Source organism: Homo sapiens, chromosome 2 (assembly GCF_000001405.40).
Source record: "Homo sapiens chromosome 2, GRCh38.p14 Primary Assembly".
Classification (NCBI taxonomy): domain Eukaryota; kingdom Metazoa; phylum Chordata; class Mammalia; order Primates; family Hominidae; genus Homo; species Homo sapiens.
Window position 1 is genome coordinate 43,871,526 of NC_000002.12, and position 21,881 is coordinate 43,893,406.

Below are 21,881 nucleotides of genomic sequence, written 5' to 3' on the forward strand. Positions count from 1 at the left end.
ACTCAGCCTCCCCCGACCAGCCCAACTTCTCCCCATGGAGGGGCACTGAGTCCTCATTAAAGCTTCCTGGACAGCTGGAGTTGGAGCCAGAGCATGACTGTCATGTGGCCCTTGGCTCTGAAGGCTCTTGCTCTGTCCTAAGATGTCCTCAAAATGAGCCTGGGTAGTGGGACTTGGGCGGGGCCTCTACTCTTTCCCATTTTTTGATCCACTGCTCTTACCCTGAGGCTTCTGCAGATGTGGTCAGGCCTGGCAGGGTGAAGGACCAGCCCTTGGGGTCCCTCTGCCTCTCTCTGCTCTGCCCCTTGCTTCATGGCTGAGGGTGGGGAGAATGTCCCAGAGCCCCACGAGGGGTGATCAGCATTGTGAGCTGGGCGTGCACCAAGCTCTTCACCTGTGAGCAGGTGCCAGGGAACAGGCCACCTGTGACTCCACATCCCCTGCTTGCAGTGGACCTGACCAGCATTGACAGGCGCAGCAGAGAGCAGGAATTGGCCACCAGGGAGAAGGCTCAGTCACTCGCAGCCCTGTTTCTAGAAAAAGTGCGTGACTTAGATGACTTTCTATGGAAAGCAGAGACGAAGGATCTTGACGAGGACACCTGTGTGGAAAGGTAAGGTGGCAGGCGACTCTGAGAGGAGAGCTCCCTGCAGAAGGTGGCTGCCCCCATGACCTGGCCACATCTTCTGCCTCCCAGCAGCGTGACCCCACTAGACACCAACTGCCTCCCGAGTCCTACGAAGATGCCTGGGGCGGTGCAGCAGTTTACGACGCTGATCCGGTAATTATCTGTCATTTTATTACTGAACCCGCCCCCCTGCCCAAGTCTTTGTATATCACATTAAGCCCTTTCTATTAAAGTGAATTTAAAGGAGAAAGTGAGAGGTAGAGTCATTTGAAAAAAACAGCATCCAGCAGGGCGTTGGTGGCTTATGCCTGTAATCCCAGCACTCTGGGAGGCTGTGGTGCGTGGATCACTTAAGTTCAGGAGTTCGAGACCAGCCTGGGCAACAAGGTGAAAGCCCATCTCTACAAAAAATTATAAAAAGTAGCCAGTTATGGTGGCGTGGGCCTACCTGGTAGGCTGAGGTGGGAGGATTGCTTGATTCCTGGAGGTGGAGGCTGCAGTGAGCCGTGATTGCACCTTCACTCCAGCCTAGGCAGCAGAGCAAGACCCCATCTCAAAAAAAGGAAACAGCATTGTTGGGACCAGCACTAACCTTCAGTGCGACACAGAACACCCCTATTGCTTTTATTCTTTAAGCAAAATTAAGATATCCTCACCGGCTGGAAGATCGTAGAAATAGCATAGGGTCATTGAGAAAAATGGAGACAATAGGAGAGAATCTCTGGTTAAAAGGGAAGTCGTGGTCATACCAGCCCTCAAAGAAAGCCAGACGGCACTGTGTGGCGTGTGTCTTTCCTGATGTTTCCATGCATACACACATTTGTAAACGTAGCGGGATCATACTCTGCATGCTGGTCTGTAGCTGGTTTCTTTTCACTTAGGGCAGCACCTCTACCTCCCGTCTGATTGGGTCTTCCTCGGCATTCCAGTTAGTCTAGCCATAATCACCCACCCATTAAGTCCATCTTGATGGCCAGATTATCTTCAGGCTTTTGCTACTACAAGCAATGAGGCAGCAGACATCATTGAGCGTACATTTTTTTTTTTTTTTTTAACACAGAGTCTCTCTCTGTCACCCAGGCTGGAGTGCACTAGGGCAATCTTGGCTCACTGCAACCTCCGCCTCCCAGGTTCAAGTGATTCTCCTGCCTCAGCCTCCCAAGTAGCTGGGATTACAGGTGTGTGCCACCACTCCTGACTAATTTTTTGTGTGTTTTTAGTAGAGATGGAGTTTCTCCACGTTGGCCAGGCTGGTCTCGATCGCCTGGCCTCAAGCGATCCACCTGCCTCAGCCTCCCAAAATGCTGGGATTACAAGCGTGAGCCACCACGCCCAGCCTGTCCGTACATCTTTATGGAAGTAATTGATTTTTTCCTCAGGATCATTTCTTTGAGTAACATTGCCAAGCTGATACATTCATGATAAAAGTAACAATCATTTATTGAGTACCTACTGTGGGACAGATGCTGTCATCAGTTTTCTGATTTAATCCTCAGAGCCACTCTATGAGGCAGGTATTACCATCCCCATTTTGCATAGGAGAAAAATGAGGCTTATGGAGACTGTGACATTCCCAGGGTCACGGGGCTGGTGTATGCTGTTGCCTCAGCATCTCTTCCTTTTGGTTTTTAAGTCGTCAGATTTCCAACGACTTCCGAGACCTGCCCACCCTCCTCATCCATGGGGCGGAGGCCTGTCTGATGTCAATGACCATCGGCTTCCTCTATTTTGGCCATGGGAGCATCCAGCTCTCCTTCATGGATACAGCCGCCCTCTTGTTCATGATCGGTGCTCTCATCCCTTTCAACGTCATTCTGGATGTCATCTCCAAATGTGAGTGTGGCCCACTGGCATGGGCAGGCAGGACCTCAGCCACCTCCAAGCTGTGTTCCTCTGAGCTCCTGGGGAGCGGGTTTGATTTCATTGTGATTGTGATATATAAGACAATAATGTTTTTAAAGTTTGCATGTTAATATTAGCATACAAATGAAAGTAAATTACCGAGTCTTAGCTGTTCCTATCCTAGCAGGATTTATATTTGACAGCAGAACACGAGCTACAGACTTGCAAAACCTGAAGAGCCTCATCAAACATCTAAATTAGGATGGCTTTACTGTGCCTATTTAAAAAAAAAAATTAGAGACTTGGGCAATATGATAACTACTTTGAATTGTATTAAGAGAGTCTCCAAAACAGAAGCACTGTAGATTTATTCTACTTCTTCATTCTCTTTTCCTTTCCCTTACTTTTTAGGTTACTCAGAGAGGGCAATGCTTTACTATGAACTGGAAGACGGGCTGTACACCACTGGTCCATATTTCTTTGCCAAGGTGACTGGGCAGGGTTGAGAGCAAGTGCCCCCCACCCACCAGGGTGGGGGTAAGTGTGGAGAAAACGTTGCTACAAGGAAGGCTTTTCTGAACCATGGGGCCGTGGGTCATGTGAAGTCACCGATGCCACCAGATGCCACATTTTCTAGGGGAGTTTCAGAGACTTGAACTTTTATTTTAAACATTTACCAAAACACCAGGACTGTGGACCAGGAATGATAGTTTTCTGGCCAGAAGGAATCTAAAAAAAAGAAGTCCTCATTGTATTTTACCTTTTCAGAGCCTCACTGTGGCCCCCCAGCAGGCCAGGCAGGTGTTTCCAGGAAGCAGAGGTTCAGAGAGGCTACGTGGCTCTCCAAGGCCACACAGCTACTTGATCTGGTCAGGGGGAGTAGGGACTTGAAACCAGGTCTTAGGACAGCAGGTGCCCATTGCTGCCCTGGGGGAAACAGGCTGAACTGCCCTAGAGGGAGCATTTGGTATCTGCAAGGGGGAGGCCAGCACTGAGCTCATGCTCCTGGGTCCCAGCACACCCTCCTGCCACAGCCTCATCATCACCAGGAGGGAAGGTTGCTATCTGGGGGCACTGCTACTTTTAAACGTTTATAATAATGGCAGTGAAGGTGCTGGCTTCATATCCTTGCAAGGGCTGTTCTTTGCAGATCCTCGGGGAGCTTCCGGAGCACTGTGCCTACATCATCATCTACGGGATGCCCACCTACTGGCTGGCCAACCTGAGGCCAGGCCTCCAGCCCTTCCTGCTGCACTTCCTGCTGGTGTGGCTGGTGGTCTTCTGTTGCAGGATTATGGCCCTGGCCGCCGCGGCCCTGCTCCCCACCTTCCACATGGCCTCCTTCTTCAGCAATGCCCTCTACAACTCCTTCTACCTCGCCGGGGGCTTCATGATAAACTTGAGCAGCCTGTGGACAGGTAAGGCCTGCCCCCGGGGCCTGGGCCAGCTTTGTTAGGACTCATGTGACTGGATGAAGCCTGCTTTCATCTGGAGATGGACACTTATCACTTAGATCCAACTCGAGGCTGGCCCTTCTGGAAGCAGAGGCCTTTGCCCACTGCCCTGGAGGCCAAAGGAATGATTCCATTAGAGATTCCAGATGCACCTCCTCCTATCCCACAGCTGATATCCAGAAGTCGCCCTTGACTGTCTCCCTCCCTCTCCACATCCACCTGTGAGCCAGGTCGATTCTGCCTCCTGTTTCTCTGAAATGTCTGCTTGGCTGTGTCTCCATCCCTGGCCACCATTGTTTGAGCCTGGGCCACTGCCATAGCCTGGTCTCTGTAACCTGGGCCCCTCCACATCCCTCTCGACTCAGCCACGCAGAGTGAGCTTTCCAAGGTGCAAACCCATGCCCCCCTTTGTTCAAATCTTCCCAGGGTTGCTCAATCCCTGCGGCCTCCCCAGCTTTCTGAAGCCCCCAGCACACCCCACCCTCTCACCTCTGAGCCTGCCCAGCTATTGTCTCTGGGAATGTCATGCCCGCCTTCCATGGGGCATCTCTTCTGCCAGGGCTTTCCTGATGCACCCAGGCAGGGCTCATTGCCTCCTTCCCCTCCCCATACCATGCCACCTCCATAGGATCAGGGCACAGGCTCCATTGTCTCTGGTGTGGGGCCGCTGAGTCTCCTCAGCCCACACAGTCCATGAAGCTGAGCACGTGCAGGGATGCCTCATCACATCCCTCTCGAGAATTGCTATGGATCAAATGTGTGGGTGACCCCGTGGCCTCTCAGCTCCCTCGGCCCCAGTCCATGTCCCCAGCAACCCCTCTGCCCTTTTGCCTCTTGGTCTCTGGTCTCTCTCCCCTCCTTGCTCATCAGAGAACTTGGGCCAGAGCCACCATGGCCCTGTCTCAGAGAGTGGGATGTGCCCTTGTGCAGGTAAGAGAGACTGTGTGACTGTGGGGAGACCATGGGAATATGGGGAGACTGAATACGGGGGAGACTGTGTCGATATAAAGGAGATCATGGGAATACGGGGAGACCATGAGAATAGGAGGAGACCGTGGGAATATGGGGAGACGGTGAGAATATGGGAAGACTGCAAGAATATAGGGAGACCATGGGAATATGGGGAGACTATGGGAATATGGGGAGATCACATGAATATGCAGGAGACTGTGAGAATATGGGGAGACCGTGAGAATATGGGGAGACTGTGGGAATATGAGGAAAGTGTGAATATGGGGGAGACCATGTCAATATAAAGGAGCCGTGGGAATATGGGGAGACTGTGGGAATATGGGAGAGAGAGTGTCAATATAAAGGAGACTGTGGGAATAGGGGGAGACCGTGGGAATATGAAGAGACTGTGTGAATATGGGGGAGACCATGTCAATATAAAGGAGATCGTCGGAATATGGGGAGATTGTGCGAATATGGGGAGACCATGGGAATATGGGGAGACTGTGGGAATATGGGGAGATCATGTGAATATGCAGGAGACCGTGTCAATATAAAGGAGACAGTGGGGATATGGGGAGACCATGAGAATATAGGGAGACCATGGGAATATGAAGAAACTGTGTGAATATGGGGGAGACTGGGAGTATGGGGAGACTCTAGTAATATGGGGAGACTGGGAATATGAGGAAACTGTGAATATGGGGGAGACTGTGGGAATATGGGGAGACCGTGGGAATATGAGGAGACTGTGTGAATATGGGGAAGACCATGTCAATATAAAGAAGACCATGGGAATATGGGGAGACCATGGGAATATGAGGAAACTGGATATGGGGGAGGCCGTGTCAATATAAAGGAGACCGTGGGAATATGGGGAGACTGTGGGAATATGAGCAGACTGTGTGAATATGGGGGAGACCACATCAATATAAAGGAGATCGTGGGAATATGGGGAGATCGTGCGAATATGGGGAGCCCATGGGAATATGGGGAGACTGAATATATGGGAGACTGTGGGAATATGGGGAGATCATGCAAATATGGGCAGACCATGGGAATATGGGGAGACTCTGTGAATATGGGGGAGACCATGCGAATATGGGGAAACCATGAGAATATGAGGGACACCTGTGAGTAACGCGGCTGTCTGTCTCCAGTGCCCGCGTGGATTTCCAAAGTGTCCTTCCTGCGGTGGTGTTTTGAAGGGCTGATGAAGATTCAGTTCAGCAGAAGAACTTATAAAATGCCTCTCGGGAACCTCACCATCGCGGTCTCAGGAGATAAAGTAAGCGGGGAAGGCCTCGGGTTCTAAATTATTGGACGTCCGGCTTTCCATCCTCCTCATGAGCCCACTGCATGTCTGTGTCTCCAGATCCTCAGTGTCATGGAGCTGGACTCGTACCCTCTCTACGCCATCTACCTCATCGTCATTGGCCTCAGCGGTGGCTTCATGGTCCTGTACTACGTGTCCTTAAGGTTCATCAAACAGAAACCAAGTCAAGACTGGTGATTCACGCCAGACGTCTGCCCGCTGGTGGGGGACCTGAGCAGACCCTTCAACTGCACTCCCTCCTCAGGAGCCCCTTCCTGGGGACAGTGAGGACAATGACCCTACAGATGCTCAGCTACATCCGGCCCAGGGTGCTGCAGTGGCACAGACCAGCCACAGGATGGCAGTAGAATAAAGACAGTCGAAAGGGATTTCTGCTCACTGGCAGGAGACTGCGATGACTGGGAGAAAACCTGCACTCGGTGGCACCTACAACGTTGCTAATTTATTTCCTTTTGATATGCATTTATATAGGCAACTCGATATAGGATGGGAGCAAACTAGGAATGAATTGGGTAGCTAGACTGTGCAGGAATTGTTGGAACCTGGAGGGAACAATAACAGTAGCTAGCAGATTTGGCTTCATCTTCCAGGGGCCCCACACTCCGTGGTGAGCCACCATCAATACAGAAAGTGACCTAAGATGTACCAGCAAGATGCCATCCCTTCTTTTTGTGTGGGGTCATGGGCTCCAAAAGCCAACGTGAACAATTAAAAATGTATTGAGCATCTACTCTGTAGCAGGTCCTGTGAAAACACTTTAGGTGGACAATCCCTTGAGGTAAGTGGTATCCCATTTTATAGGTGTGAAAACTGAAGCAAAAATTCATTTTCCTAAGGGCACATGGATACTTTGTGGTGGAGTCATATGGGGATCAGAAAAGCCTTTGAGGCCTTTGGAGTTAGAGGGCAGAAGGCAAGGCCTGAGCCGCTGTAAGCCTTAGGAGTTTAGGAAGGCTCCAGAAGACAAATGGGGTCTGTAGAGGCTGTTAACTCAGCCAGGCTTCTTAGAGTTGCATTTCACTAACTGATATGGTTTGGCTCTGCGTCCTCACCCAAATCTCACCTTGAATTGTAATAATCCCCAAGTGTCAAGGGCGGGACCAGATGGAGATAATTGAATCATAGGGGTGGTTTCTCTGATGCTGTTCTCCTGAGAGTGAGTGAGTTCTGATGAGATCCGACGGTTTTATAAGGGGCTTCCCTCTTCGCTCGGCTCTCATTCTCTCTCCCGCTACCCTGTGAAGAGGAGCCTTCCACCACGACTGCAAGTTTCCTGAGGCTGCCCCAGCCGTGCTGAACTGTGAGTCAGTTAAACCTCTTTTCTTTATAAATTACCCAGTCTTGGGTATTTCTTCATAGCAGTGTGAGAGCAGATGAATACACTGGCCCTGCCTGGGTTTCAGAACCAGCCTTGAACCTTTCACAGTGGCCAGAGGATGGGGAGGCAGAGGCCCAGGTTGCACACTTCTTGCCTGAGTGTTGGGGACTATCTGACCCAAAACAGGTGCACAGAGGGCAGGAGAGGATGTTCCCAAAGGAAAATTAGAGTTTAGAATCAAAAGAAGGGGAAGGTGCGTGTTTGGGAGGTAAATAGCAAATACTCTTCATAGGTTCACTAGAGTCTTGCTACTCCAAGTACGATCCCTGGGCCAGCAGAATGGGCACAGCTGGAGCTGATTGGATAGGTCCCATGAGCCTCAGGCCCCACCCAGGCTCAATGAGTCAGAGTCTGCGTCTTAAGAAGACCCCCTGGTGATCTGTGCACATTCAAGCATGCTGCCGTTTTCCAAAGCACTTGCAACACTCAGGATGCTTGCACGGTCATGTTGCCACCATCCAACCTGCAGACCCCATTCTTGAGATTGACTGGGAGTTCCTATCATGTCCTCCATAGCAAGGGGATCTAGACCAGAATCAAGCCTTGGATCTAGTTCTCAAGTCTCTTTTGTCTCTTTCAGTTTAGGAACAGTTTGTCAACTTTCCTTCACTTTTGTGACCTTGATACTTGAGTTTGAAGGCTGTCTCTCAATTTGTGTTCTGCCCAGTGCATCCTATCAGAAGGCATGTGATTTCAACTTCTCCCATACCAACAACGTTCACTTTGATCACTTGATTAAAGGGGTGTCTGCTAGGCTTCTCCACAGCCAAGTTACTATTTTCCCTCCCTTTATAATTAATAAGCATTTTGTAAGTGGGTACTTTGAAACTATGTAAATTGTAAACTTTCCATTTATGCATTTTAAAATTTTGATTGATGTAAACTTGTGAATTCCCATTGTATCCTTACAACCCTTTATTATTGTGATTAATTCTGATGCTCAGCTTGTCCCTGATTTGGCCAGTGGGAACCCCGTCGAGCTGGCTTCTGCATCCTTTTGATATGTCCTCATCATCCTTTGAGGGCTGAAACAACCAAGAGTTTCAGGCTCATTTTTTGTTTTGTTTTTTTTTTTTTGAGACAGAATCTCATTCTGTGGCCCAGGCTGGAGTGCAATGGCGCGATCTCGGCTCACTGCAACCTCTGCCTCCCAGGTTCAAGCGATTGCCTTGCCTCAGCCTCCCAAGTAGTTGGGATTAACAGTGCCCACCACCACACCTGGCTAATTTTTGTATTTTTAGTAAAGACAGTGTTTCACCATATTGGCCAGACTGGTTGTGAACTCTAGGCCTCAAGTGATCTGCCTGCTTCGGCCTCCCAAAGTGTTGGGATTACAGGTGTGACCCACCGCACCTGGTGTCACAGGTTCATCTTGTATTTTCCCATCTCAGCCCTGGAATCCGATGTTTCTCCAGAGAATCTGGGTTCCTCTTAGTGGAAAATGGTATTTAGAAGCCAAGGTTTTGGTGATAAGTATGCTCTTTGCTTGTGGAACATCTCTGCTCCCAGGCTCTCTCAGTGAACAGAGTTAGGGAGTGTGTGTGTGTGTGCGCGCGCGCGCGCGCATGTGCATACATATACACCTAAGTACACATGAGTTTACTCTGATAACATCCATTTCCAATCCAGCATCACAGAGTTGATCCTAGGTTCTTCCCTCTTCTCTAATTGTGAGAAACCTGGCTTCCATTACCCTTAGGTTATTTACTCATTTGATTAACCGCCTGCAGGTAAGTAATCTCCCATCTACACTGCCACGCCTTCTCCTGTATGGACGTCCTGCCTACCCTGCTCAGGCTCTAACTCCCAAGTCCAGCTTTCCCTGAGTCTGCAGCTGTCTTCCTCACACTCCCGTGGCCCACCACAACTTCCCCCCACCTCCTTGTCACTGTGGTCCCCTAATGGCGTTAGGCCTGAATGAAGAAGGGGGAAGGATGAAGAGGACATTGGTAGCTTGCCTTAACTCCCCAGGTAATTCTAATGTGCAGTGATTGACAGCCACTAAGATACATCACCTGACTTTGTGAGTTCACCATTCGGTCTGCAATGGGTTTTGGTAACTCAGTGGCTCTGTATGCCGTGCTGAAGGGGAAAAGGGCAAAGTGCAAAGGCAGGAGGGATGGAGAAAATATAGCAGCTGCCATTTATTTGTGTTTTTCCTACAGCGGTGGTTCTCCACCCTGGTTGCCCATGCTGGAGCTTTAACAAAAGCCAATGTGGACCCATTGCCCAGAGACTCTGATCCCATGGGTCTGTTTTGTTTAAAATGCTCTTCAAGGCATTGTGAGGCCAGGAAAACAAAGAACCAAGGCTCTCCCGGGTGCGGTGGCTCACGCCTGTAATCCCAGCACTTTGGGAGGCCGCGGAGGGCAGATCACGAGGTCAGGAGATCGAGACCATTCTGGCCAACATGGCAAAACCCTGCCTCTACTAAAAATACAAAAATTAGCTGGGCATGGTAGTGCGTGCCTGTAGTTCCAGCTACTTGGGAGGTTGAGGCAGGAGAATCGCTTGAATCCGGGAGGCAGAGGTTGCAGTGAGCCGAGATTGAGCCACCGCACTCCAGCCTGGTGACAGAGCGATACTCTGTCTCAAAAAAAAAAAAAAAAAACCCAAGGCTCTCGAGGCATGCATGCTGTTCAGCGAGCCCTGCCCTGCATTGCGAAAGGGTAGAGATTTGTTTATTTGTCAGTATTGAAAGCATGGCTTGCAAAGTTTTCCTGTTAAGAGTCAGATAGTAAATATTTGGGACTTCGTGGGCCTTATAGGCTCTGCTGCAATTACTTAACTCTGCTGTTACAGTGTGAGAGCAGCTGTAGACTATAGTAACGTACAGCCGGTGTGGCTGTCTTCTAAGAAAGTATTATTTACAAAAACAGGCAGGTTGCTAGATTTGACCTGAGGGTGTAGTTTGCAGAGCCTTGGTAAAGGTTTTCAAATTTGCATTTTAAGCCCTCCAATTTCAAGTTATGCTATTGGTGGGGAATTTTAATTAAACAGAAAATAATCACCAATATTGGCTCAAATATTTCCTGATTTAAAAAAAAATCTGCTCTTGTTCCTATAAATAGTATATAAGATGTAATCTTGCCCTGGGTTAAACCAGTCTACAGAGGTAGATCTCGCATTTGCTTTTGTTTTCTTCTACTTCAACTCTTGTCATGATCCCAAATTAAACAACTAGCAACAGAAATGTTCAAATCTGTCAAATCCAAGTGTTAACAGACCTGGGACCAGGGGTTCCTCATAGTGGCTTAGCACAGCATACAGACCACTTTCCTTTGGCCCAACCGGCCTTGGGGTCTGGAGCACCAAACAGGCCCTGAGGAAGCGTGCAAGGAACTGGAATGCGGGGAAAGTGATGAAATATTTTGTTGGTTGGCCTTTGCTTGTTTGCAAAATATATCCAATGCTCACACCTGAGAGACAACAGACATCCTTATTTGTGAATAGTCTGCACTAGATAATTCAGATTTCAAGTCATCTGTCATTCGTACTTGATAATGATTTGTTCTTCATTTAAAGTGGCCTGGGTACAGAGCAACATCCCCTGTCTTTATCACATGAGCTCTGCCTGAGGCAGCTTCAGCAGGTAGGCAGGCAGGCAGATGGAGCACAGCCCATTCTCTGCTGGTGCACTAGGAACAGCAGCACGTGTGGTGTTAGCAGCTAATAATTAAAACAACGTTTAAGCAGTGGGTTGAGATTTTTAAACACAAACCAACTCAAAAACACTTCTCTGCTTTCTATGTAATAGTGCTCACATCATTTGTATGATTGTCTCGTCTCTTTAAAATTGGAAATATTCTTGTTTCCCCAAACTGCTAATAAGCTCTACTGACCCATGCTAAAAATAAAGCTCTTTCGGCTGGGCGCAGTGGCTCATGACTGTAATCTCAGCACTTTGGAAGGCTGAGGTGGGTGGATCACTTGAGGTTAGGAGTTCAACATCAGCCTGGGCAACATAGTGAAACACCATCTCTATCCCAAATACCAAATTAGCCAGGCACAGTGGCAAGTGCCTGTAGTCCCAGCTACTCAGGAGGCTGAGGCAGCAGAATCACTGGAACCTGGGAGGCGGAAGTTGCAGTGAGCCAAAATCGCGCTACTGCACTCCAGCCTGGGCAACAGAGCAAGACTCGATCTCCAAACAAACAAACAAAACAAAACAAAACAACAAGAAAAACAGAACGTGGTGGCTCATGCCTGTAATCCCAGCACTTTGGGAGGCCAAGGTGGGTGAATCACCTTAGGTCAGGAGTTCAAGACCAGCCTGGCCAACATGGTGGAACCCCCATATCTACTAAAAATAACAAAATTAGCCGAGTGTGGTGGCACATGTCTATAATCCCAGCTACTTGGGAGGCTGAGGCAGGAGAATCACTTGAACCCAGGAGATGGAGGTTGCAGTGAGCCAAGATCACACCGCTGCACTCCAGGCTGGGCAACAAGAGCGAAACTCCATCTCAAAAAAAAGAGAGAAAAGAAAAGCTTTATTTGTGTTGATTCCATTATTCCACTATTGCACAGAAGCCCTGCACTGTGCTTGGAATCAGCTTGATCTTGAGTTTGTCTGGTTTTCACAGGCCTCCTCTTCCTGACAGTAAACTTGAAAATATTTTTATGTGGGCACTTGGGTTTTGAAGGACTCCTTGGGCCTCAATCCCCGGTGTCCTAACTCTGAGCTACAGAGCTGACTAGAAATCCTGTAAGAAGACCACCATGTGGAGGAAACCCTCCAAAGCACACAAATCATCCATCTCAGAAGGAACACGACTTGGAAAGGGGAAGGACATGGTGGTGTGCCCATTGATTGACTCATTCAGTGATGCCTACCGGGTGCCTATCATGCCAAGCTCTGCTAATTGGCAGGTCTGCAGAGTGCTGGAAGAACTCACCTCCTCAGGGAGAAAACAGACAAAAACAAGTAAATAATGGGAATGTCACAGCAAGGGCACATCCAGGCCTGGGTTGAAGACGCTACTTTATGGTGGCTCACACCTGTAATCCCAGCACTTTGGGAGGCTGAGGCGGGCGGATCACCTGAGGTCGGGAGTTCAAGACCAACCTGACCAACATGACAAAAACACGCCTCTACTAAAAATACAAAAATTAGCCGGGTGCAGTGGTGGGCGCCTATAATCCCAGCTAGTCTCGAGGCTGAGACATGAGAATAGCTTGAACCCGGGAGGCGGAGGTTGCAGAGCCTAGATAGCGCCATTGAACTGTAGCCTGGGCAACAGAGCACGACTCCGTCTCAAAAAATAAATAAATAAATAAATAAATAAATAAAAAACAACACGCTACTTTAGAGAACTCTCTGAGGATAGATCTCAACAGCCAACCATTGTCCAAACAACTGTGCAAGGGCAGGAAGACTGAAGCTGGTTGAACACTTTTGCTTTACCTGGACCTGATTTTTTTTTTCCTCCATGCAGAAAAGAAAAAGATAAGTGCCTATTTTTGATTTGCTAATGCAGCTTTTCTTTATTTGTACTAAGGCTGCATAATGTAGGCTTTGTAAAGTCCACGGGCCTGAAAGCACGATACATTTCTAATGGAAACACTCCCATGCATGATTGTACAACAGGAAAGCGATAAATTACCGTGATTTTGTACTCCCTGCAGCTATTAGTTCGGCCCTCCTTCAGGAATGTTGCTTTCGGTTATAGAAATTCTACAAATATTGGTTCATCAGAAAGACAAATATTAAATGAAAATTATGCTCAAGGACATGAGAAAAAGTGTGCAGAGTACACACATTGCAGACTTGAGAAAGAAATTGTCCTCAGAACAATTTGCAATACAAAGCTTGCTTAATAATTTACTGGAACTGGTAAACTCAGCGATTATGCCAGGCACTGGATCTTCAATTAAGTGTAAGAAAATAGGCTTACAGTGTAAGATGTCTGGAAACTGGGAGCACTTCTATTAATGTGAATGTGAGGGTTTTTTTTTTTAATTAGAATATTCTTACAGTTTCAATTCCAATTTGACTTTTAACTGACTTTAAACCGATTGCTTCCATTTCCTATTCATAGGAAGTAAATGATTTTAGTCAGAGTCCTAGCCATGCAACTTATCAAGTTGATTCTGGGCAAATTCACTGCTGTGACCCTAGGTTTCTCACGGTGAATTCTCATTGCAAAAGGGCTGCCTGACCCATAGCAGTAGGTGCAGTGTTTAGAACGCACAGAACTGACTACAGACGGCTTGATTTACTGTGACAGGATTATGCTAGGTCTGGGGACACATAATGAGACCAAGAACTGGTCCCTGTGGAGTTCAGAATCTGTGTGGAAGATAGTGTGATACCTGCTCTGCTCAAGCAGCCGTGGAAGCCCTGGAAAGGGAACAATATGCTGGGTGAGGGGCCCAAGAGGCAGAGGTGACACTGACGGTATCTCAGCATTCTCGAAAAAGGGTGCAGGTGCTGAAGGCAGCCTGTCCGTGAGGTGGGTGGGCCCCAGCCATCTAGGGGGATGTAAAATGCTCTGATACAGATAGAACCTCCTTCATTTTAGGTGTCAATTTACCACACACCCAAGCTCTACCTTCTAATTTTTGCCAACTTTATTCCACAGAAGTCTCAAATTATCTGCTTGTCCTTAAAACAGATAAGCACTGACTTTTGTCAGTTGTCTACATACAACCTATAGGCCATTTAACAAGGAAATTCTAGCCATAACAGAGGTCCCTGCCTAAGTTTTAATTTATAATTCTAAGACTGAAGTCTTTTGAAATGGCTTAAAGCACTTGTGCAAACATTTGACAAGATAAAAATGAAGGTGCCAGTTGGGTGCAGGGCCTCGTGCCTGTAATCCCAACATTTTGGGAGGCCAAGGTGGGCAAACTGCTTGAGCCCAGGAGTTCAAGACCAGCCTGGGCAACCGGACAAAACTCTGTTTCTTCAAAATACAAAAAATTAGCTGGCCGTGGTGGCATGCACCTGTAGTCTCAGTTACTTGGGAGTCTGAGGTGGGAGGATCACCTGAGACTGGGAGGTCAAGACTGCAATGAGCCGTGATCACGCCACTGCTCTACAGGCCGGGCAACAGAGTGAGACTGTTTGTTTAAAAAAGAAAAAAAAAAAGCAGCAGCAGCCCACAGATATTTACAGTATACTTTATTCAAAGCATTTCAGTTAAAATTATTTTGGGTTCAAATACATGAACATATAATTATATATAAAATACTATAGTTCTCAATAGTTTACAGTGACATCTTTTTTAGAATTAGCTGCTTATAATTTGAGTGTAAATGTATTACAGAAAGCTGCTAAATTGTTTATATTTCTACTTATTTCAATTTAGCTATTAGATATTTAGAACACTCATAAGCCCACCTACAGTATAGTTATTATACTTTAAATATTTATATTCAATAGGGGAATCAATACAATACAAAAGATATTTGAACAGCTAGTCCTTTGTAACACCCCCCCGCTGCTGCCGAGAGGGCTAGATAAGGGGGTCTTACCTATTTCCTCTGTACCACACTCACATTTTACCAGAGTCCATATACAGGGCCAGTGTGGAGTCACTTCATGCAAATGAGATGGTACTTTCAGTTTCCCCAAAAAGATGACTGCGAAATCCAGATTACACCCCAACGTTATGCCTCACCTTGGAGACCTATTCTAATGAATGTCAATTAGTGAATGTTGACTAACTTGTGGTTAGCATGACTGCAAAAAAATGAGGCCTGCTTCAGTGCAATCACTAAAGACAGGAGTGAGGCTCTTGGCCAGGCGTGGTGGCTCACACCTGTAATCCCAGCACTTTGGGAGGCTGAAGCGAGCGCAGGGGGAGGATCACTTGGGGCCAGGAGTTCGAGACCAACCTGGCCAACATGGTGAAACTCCGTCTTTACCATACAAAAATTAGCTGAACATGGTGGTGCAAGCCTGTAATCTCAGCTACGTGGGAGGCTGAGGCACAAGAATCACTTGAACCCAGGAGGCGGAGGTTGCAGTGAGCTGAGATTGCGCCACTGCACTCTGGCTTAAGCAACAGAGCAAGACTATCTCAAAAAAAAAAAAAAAAAAAAAGATGCTTTTGGCAAACCTGTAACATGTGCAGGTCCTGCATCTGGGCAGTGCTCAAGGGAAAGCCGCACTATGTCCACTGGGCCAAGACTCAACGTTGGCCATGCCCCCTGCTTCCTTAAATCTAACGCCACAAAAAGAGTTGAAGTAAAAGCCTGGCCAATACCATGATGACATCTACTTCCTGGCTTCCCGCCATCAACCCTCCCTCACACCATCTGCGGGCAGGTAGCAGATGCAGGAGAGAGAGTTCCACAAGACAGAAGGTCAACAGCACAAGTTGCAAGAGGCCCGCCTACGTCCCCAAGGCAAGGTCTCCCCTGATGTGAACAGTGTGACCCAAGTTGGCACTGAAACTGGAACAGTAGGGAGTCACCAAATTCAAATGAACAAGGAATACCCCAAAATGGGGAGAGTTCTCAAAACATTTTCAACATTTCGGTAATTAATTACCTCATCTCCAGTTAGGTCAATATTCCATATTATTAAGACACCTTTTATAATGGCAAACTCTCCTGACTACCTATCTTAGAATTTTTTTGAAGTCACTACTTACAGTGTAGATATTAACAGGCATGAGATTCAATATAGGGATCACTTTTATTTCAAACAATTAAATACAAACCAATATTTTACCCCTTCATAGATGAAATCACATCTTTTCAGGATATGAGTATAAAGTAACAAGCCTAGGGCAGAGCTTGTACTGACAAAGTCCTGAAACTACAATGAGAGGAAACACATTGCTCTACTTCGGGATAAGTCATGACCGAGACTCAATTTCAGAGACGCTCTATGAACAGAGGTGCTTGAAGCCACAGTGGCAGAAGGGAAAGATGGGGAAGTGTGCCGAAGAGCCTCCAGGCATGACAGACAGTCCCCTGACCAAGCACAAGTAACAGGCCCTTTGGGTCTCTGCTTCTCACTGGAAAATGATGAAGCCTAGATCTGATGACTCCTAGTGCCAACATTTAACAAAGTTCGAAAGTTATGCAGGACTTCACACATGTACGGAATGGCTGTATCACAGAATATTATGCGTTAGAAAGTTCACGGTCACTATACCTAGCTCTAAAATTTTTCAGAGAAACAGCAGACTAATAAGTGAATCTTAAATAAAGGAATAACATTTTAATGAAATAAATGAAACAGAGCAGGGAAACCAAAGAGCCAATTAGGGGAAGAATCCTGAAAAAGTATGGCTTCACACAGCAGCAGCATTGAAGAAAACACTATCGATTTTTCCCAGAGAAAAAAACTCCAAAAATGTCCAATAACCAAGTGCACAGAGTTATGGTCAATAAGACTTTGAACATGCATCACACATACATAAGTACATAAAGAAAATTTTCATTTATTTTTCCCTCAGATATACTTCAAAATAACATGTAGACACAGAATCACAAATATATACAAAACAAAGTATCGCCTGGTTATTTCAAGAAGAGTTTTCCCTCAATTTTCTTAGCTGCTGTGCATAAAATTCAAAGCTTTCCTGTTAAGGAGAAAAAAAGAGGGAAGTTAGAGATACCAGCAAGAGGTGATGGTACATAACTTAAAAAATCATAAAACACTACCAACTGGTAGCTAAGACTGCCAGGCCCATGGAAGATGCTGCCCCTCAAGCTTCAGTACTCCTTCCTTGTTTCATGAAATCACAAGTTCAAGGGCCTCGGGTTCAGAGTTAAAGCTAGCAGCAGGAGGTAGGGTGCGTGTGTGTATACGTGTGTATGTGCAAGCATGTGTGTGTGCACATATGGAGGTATGGGTATGGAAGGCTGAGGTGTTTGAAATAAACACGGTGTATTGACTCAGTTCAATGACATAACAAAAAGGAATTGTGCATATGTGATTTCTCTTATTAAAGAAAACATGCCGGGCACAGTGGCTCACGCCTGTAATCCCGGCACTTTGGGAGGCCGAGGTGGGCGGATCACGAGGTCAGCAGTTCAAGACCAGCGTGGCCAACATGGTGAAACCCCATCTGTACTAAAAATACGAAAATGTGCCAGGCATGGTGGCAGGCCCCTGTAATCCCAGCTACTTGGGAGGCTGAGGCAGGAGAATCGCTTGGACCTGGGAGGCGGAGGTTGCAGTGAGCCGAGACCGTGCCATTGCACTCCAGCCTGGGCAACACAGCGAGACTCCATCTCAAAAAAAAAAAAAAAAAAAAAAAAAGGCAAAATTTCCTAGACGAAGAAATAAAAACCAACTTATGTAAATGAACAAGTAATTACCACTGACATAATATGCTTGGCTGTTGAACTACAGGCCATTAAATCCTATTTCAAGTTGAAATGAGAGAACTGCCCCAAGGACATTTGGTAAATCCATGCCTATAGCTGAAGGTCTGAGACAGACCTTGTATTTTAAACTGTGGCCCCAGAGAGCTATGTTCTCCGACTGCCGCAGCCAAGGCATGCTGCTCAGTCCCTCAAGCCATCCCCTGAGGGCTCTTCACAGAGATCTAATCCTCATGTAATTAAGTCTTCAACTTATTTTCTTACACATTGTTATGAAGTGCACATAAATCTGCAGAGGTATTTTTTCCCCTTAATTAAGAAATACTCACAGGGGGTTCAATGAAAGGGACAGGCTCTCCAGCATACTTCAGCAAAGATGCGTAACGCTTTAGAAACAGATCATCCAATTTTGTATTCTTTGCAGTCAAATGTTCATACAGTGCTTTAGCAGATGTGACATCTTTCTCTGAGACTGACATAAAGAAAAAAATATATTAATCAGAGATAAAGACAACCTATCTTACTCTTTTCACCAAAACAGCCACTCAGGGACGGCTGGATCCCTTTATCCCACGGCAAATGAACACTTAACTACTTTCAGTAAGAAGCCACATTCAGAATCTACCATCTCCCTCACTTCTCTACATCCCTCATTCGGCATCACTCACTTTGAAGGAGAAGAAAATGACAAATATGGCTACATTTAAAGGACTTTAGAATAATATTGATACCATTCACTTAGGTTATTACATTATTTAAGACCTATGATAGTTCAAGTGACCACAAACTGAAGTCCTCAGTTATAAAATAATACACACCATTCAATCCCCTTTGGCTTAAAACCACTGTGAAATCAAGATAATCCAGGAACTGTTGTGGAGAGGGACATGTCAATTATGTAGAAATCTACATCAACATCAAGATCATCAGCTCAACATCAAAAAAGCTTTTCATTTTTCTATTGTAAAATAAACAAATATGGAAAGTATAGTTAGCTACAATGATACACACACACAAAAAACCTATAGGCCGGGCGCAGTGGCTCACGCCTGTAATCCCAGCACTTTGGGAGGCCGAGGTAGGCGGATCACGAGGTTAGGAGATCGAGACCATCCTGGCTAACATGGTGAAACCCTGTCTCTACTAAAAATACAAAAAATTAGCCGGGCGTGGTGGCGGGTGTCTGTAGTCCCAGCTACTTGGGAGGCGGAGGCAGGACAATGGTGTGAACCCGGGAGGTGGAGCTTGCAGTGAGCCGAGATGGTGCCACTGCACTCCAGCCTGGGCAACAAGAGCGAGACACCATCTCAAAAAACAAACAAAAGCAAAACCTATAAGGAGACATTAACAAGTTACACTAGTTTCACTTAAGTGAATGATGAAATATGTTAGGAGCCAAATTTGGCTGGCTCTCTACTTGTGGCTGATTTGTGGAAATTTTTTAGTTTACCATGGAGATGGTAAGGGCTCTGCTAACAATTACTGCTGGTAATTCAACTCCTTAATTTTGCATTAGATTGTTAGCATCTAAGCATCACATAAACCCCTGCCCTACACTGACTCTGATATTGTCAACCGCAACTCCGGCAGCACCAGGGGAACCCCTAAGACAGAGGTGAGACGTTCAGCAATCAAAGAGTCTCCCAAAGTGGAATGAGGGTGACTCATCAGCTCTTAGTGGAGTTGGAACACATCTTTGCTGTTTCCATGAAGTCAACTTCTTGTGTAAATCCTTTATTTCCCTTCCTGAGGAGCTGAACCCTTTAAGGGCTCAAGCTCTATCTTCTAGGAAGCTGCTCCGAAAATTCTGGCATCTTGCCTTTCTTTACTTCTTGATTTTCTACCTTCCTCCCAAAATGGATTACCTAATTTAGTAGTAACACACACAGATTTATGCGCTTGACACTATTTCACATTACAGGCATACCTTGGCTTTAATGCACTTTACAGATGTTGCGTTATTTACAAATTGAAGGTTTATGGTAACCCTGCCTTGGGCAAGTCTATCAATGCCATTTTTCCAACAATATGTGCTTACTTTGTGTCTCTGTGTCACATTTTGGTAATTCCTGGAATATTTCAACCTTTTTCATTATTGTTATATCTGTTACGGTGATCTGTGACCAGTGATCTTTGATGTTACTATTGTAATTGGGGGATGCTATGAACCATACACATGGAAGATGGCAAACTTGAGAAACGTGTTCTGACTGCGATGCTGACTAGTAATTCTCCTGTCTTCCTCTACTCAGGCCTCCCTATTCTGAGACACAACAATATTGAAATTAGGCCAATTAAAAACCCTATTATAGCCTCTAAGTGTTCAAGTGAAAGAGTCATACATCTCTCATTTAAATCAGAAGCGAGAAATGAAATGATTAAGCTTAGCTTAGTGAGGAAGGCATGTCAAAAGCCGAGATACGCTGAAAGCTAGGCTTCTTGCGTGGAACAGCCAGTTGTGAATGCAAAGGAAAAGTCCTTGAAGGAAATTAAAAAGGTGCTACTTCACTGAACACACAAATGATAAGAAACTGACACAGCCTTACTAGTGACATGGAGAAAGTTTTATTGGTCCGGATAGAAGATCAAACCAGCCACAACATTCCCTTAAAAGCCAAAGCCTAATCCAGTGCAAGGCCCTAATACTAGCAGAGGCTGGTTCATGAGGTTTAAGGAAAGAAGCCATCTCCATGACACGAAAGTCCAAGGTGAAGCAGCAAATGCTGATGCAGAAGCTACGGCAGGTTATCCAGAAAATCTAGCTAAGACCACTGATGAAGGCGGCTACACTAAACAACAGATACTCCATGTAGATAAAACAGTCTTATATTAGAAGATGTCATCAAAGATTTCATAGCTAGAGAGGAAAAGCTAATGCCTAGCTTCAAAGGACAGGCTGACTCTATTTTCAATGGCTAATGCAGCTGGTGACTTTATGTTGATGCCAATGCTCACTTACCATTCCCAAATCCTAGGGCCCTTAAGAATTACGCTAAATTTATTCTGCCTGTGTTCTATAAATGGAACAACAAAGCCTAGAGGACAGCATGGATGTTTATACATGGTTCACTGAGTATTTAAAGCCTGCTGTAGAGACCTACTGCTCAGGAAAAAAAAGATTCCTTTCAAAATATTACTGCTCAGTGATAATGCACCTGGTCACCCAAGAGCTCTGAAGGAGATATACAGGGAGATTAATGTTGTTCTCAGGTGCCCTAATAAAACATCCATTCTGCAGCCCATAGATCAAGGAGTAATCTTGACTTTCAAGTCTTAACACATTTTGGGCTCACTTCGGCAACACATATACTGAAATTGGAATGATACAGAGAAGATTAGCATGGCCCCTGCACAAAGATGACACGCAAATGTGTAAAGCGTTCCATGTTTTAAACATAAAATTAAAAAAAAAAAACATGTTTCATAAGGCTATAGCTGACACAGACAGTGATTCTTCTGATGGATCTGGGCAAAGTAAACTGAAAACCTTCTGGGAAGGGTTCACCATTTCTAGATGCCATTAAGAACATCTGTAATTGATAGGAGGTCAAATTATCAACATTAACAGGAGTTTGGGAGAAGCTGATTTCAACCCTCATGGATGAACCCCTTGAGGGTCTCAAGATTTCTGTGGAGGAAATCACTGCAGATGTGGAAATAGCAAGACAACTAGAAGGAGAAGTGGAGCGTGAAGACGTGACTGAATTGCTACAATCTCATGATCAGACTTAACATGAGGAGAAGCTGTTTCCTATGGATGACCAAAGAAAGTGGTTTCTTGAGAAGGAATCTACTCTTGGTAAAGATGCTGTGAACACTGTTGAGATGACAACAAAGGATTCAGAATATGACATAAATTTAGTTAATAAAGCAGTGGTATGGTTTGAGAAGATTGATTCCAATTTTGAAAAGACATTCAATTGCAGATAAAATGCTAACAAACAACATCGCATACTACAGAGAACTCTTTCGTGAAAGGAAAAGTCAGCTGATGTGGCAAAC

General features: G+C 46.0%; 2 protein-coding genes and 1 pseudogene across 6 annotated transcripts in view; 2 read left to right on the forward strand and 1 right to left on the reverse strand.

Moving 5' to 3' along the window:
• The window catches only part of ABCG8 (ATP binding cassette subfamily G member 8), a 44,018-nt gene extending 32,555 nt beyond the window's left edge, over nt 1-11,463 (forward strand). Inside the window, exons 7-13 of one of the 2 annotated variants that reach the window (NM_022437.3) lie at nt 451-613; nt 698-781; nt 2,262-2,461; nt 2,882-2,958; nt 3,621-3,888; nt 6,036-6,163; nt 6,251-11,463. In NM_022437.3, the coding sequence (NP_071882.1) occupies nt 451-613; nt 698-781; nt 2,262-2,461; nt 2,882-2,958; nt 3,621-3,888; nt 6,036-6,163; nt 6,251-6,388 (1,058 nt within the window). In that variant the 3' untranslated portion in view covers nt 6,389-11,463. The remainder of the gene's footprint in view (nt 1-450; nt 614-697; nt 782-2,261; nt 2,462-2,881; nt 2,959-3,620; nt 3,889-6,035; nt 6,164-6,250) is intronic. The other variant, NM_001357321.2, reaches the window with a different exon arrangement.
• Nucleotides 14,699-21,881, reverse strand: part of LRPPRC (leucine rich pentatricopeptide repeat containing) — a 110,042-nt gene continuing 102,859 nt past the window's right edge. For 3 of the 4 annotated variants that reach the window (XM_047442809.1, NM_133259.4, XM_006711915.3), the window contains exons 37-38: nt 18,209-18,351; nt 14,699-17,131 (exon numbers count right to left, since the gene is read on the reverse strand). In XM_047442809.1, the coding sequence (XP_047298765.1) occupies nt 17,075-17,131; nt 18,209-18,351 (200 nt within the window). In that variant the 3' untranslated portion in view covers nt 14,699-17,074. Of the gene's footprint in view, nt 17,132-18,208; nt 18,352-18,697; nt 18,838-21,881 lie in introns of those variants that run through there. The other variant, XR_007068563.1, reaches the window with a different exon arrangement.
• RNU6-1048P (RNA, U6 small nuclear 1048, pseudogene) lies at nt 21,167-21,270 on the forward strand (annotated as a pseudogene).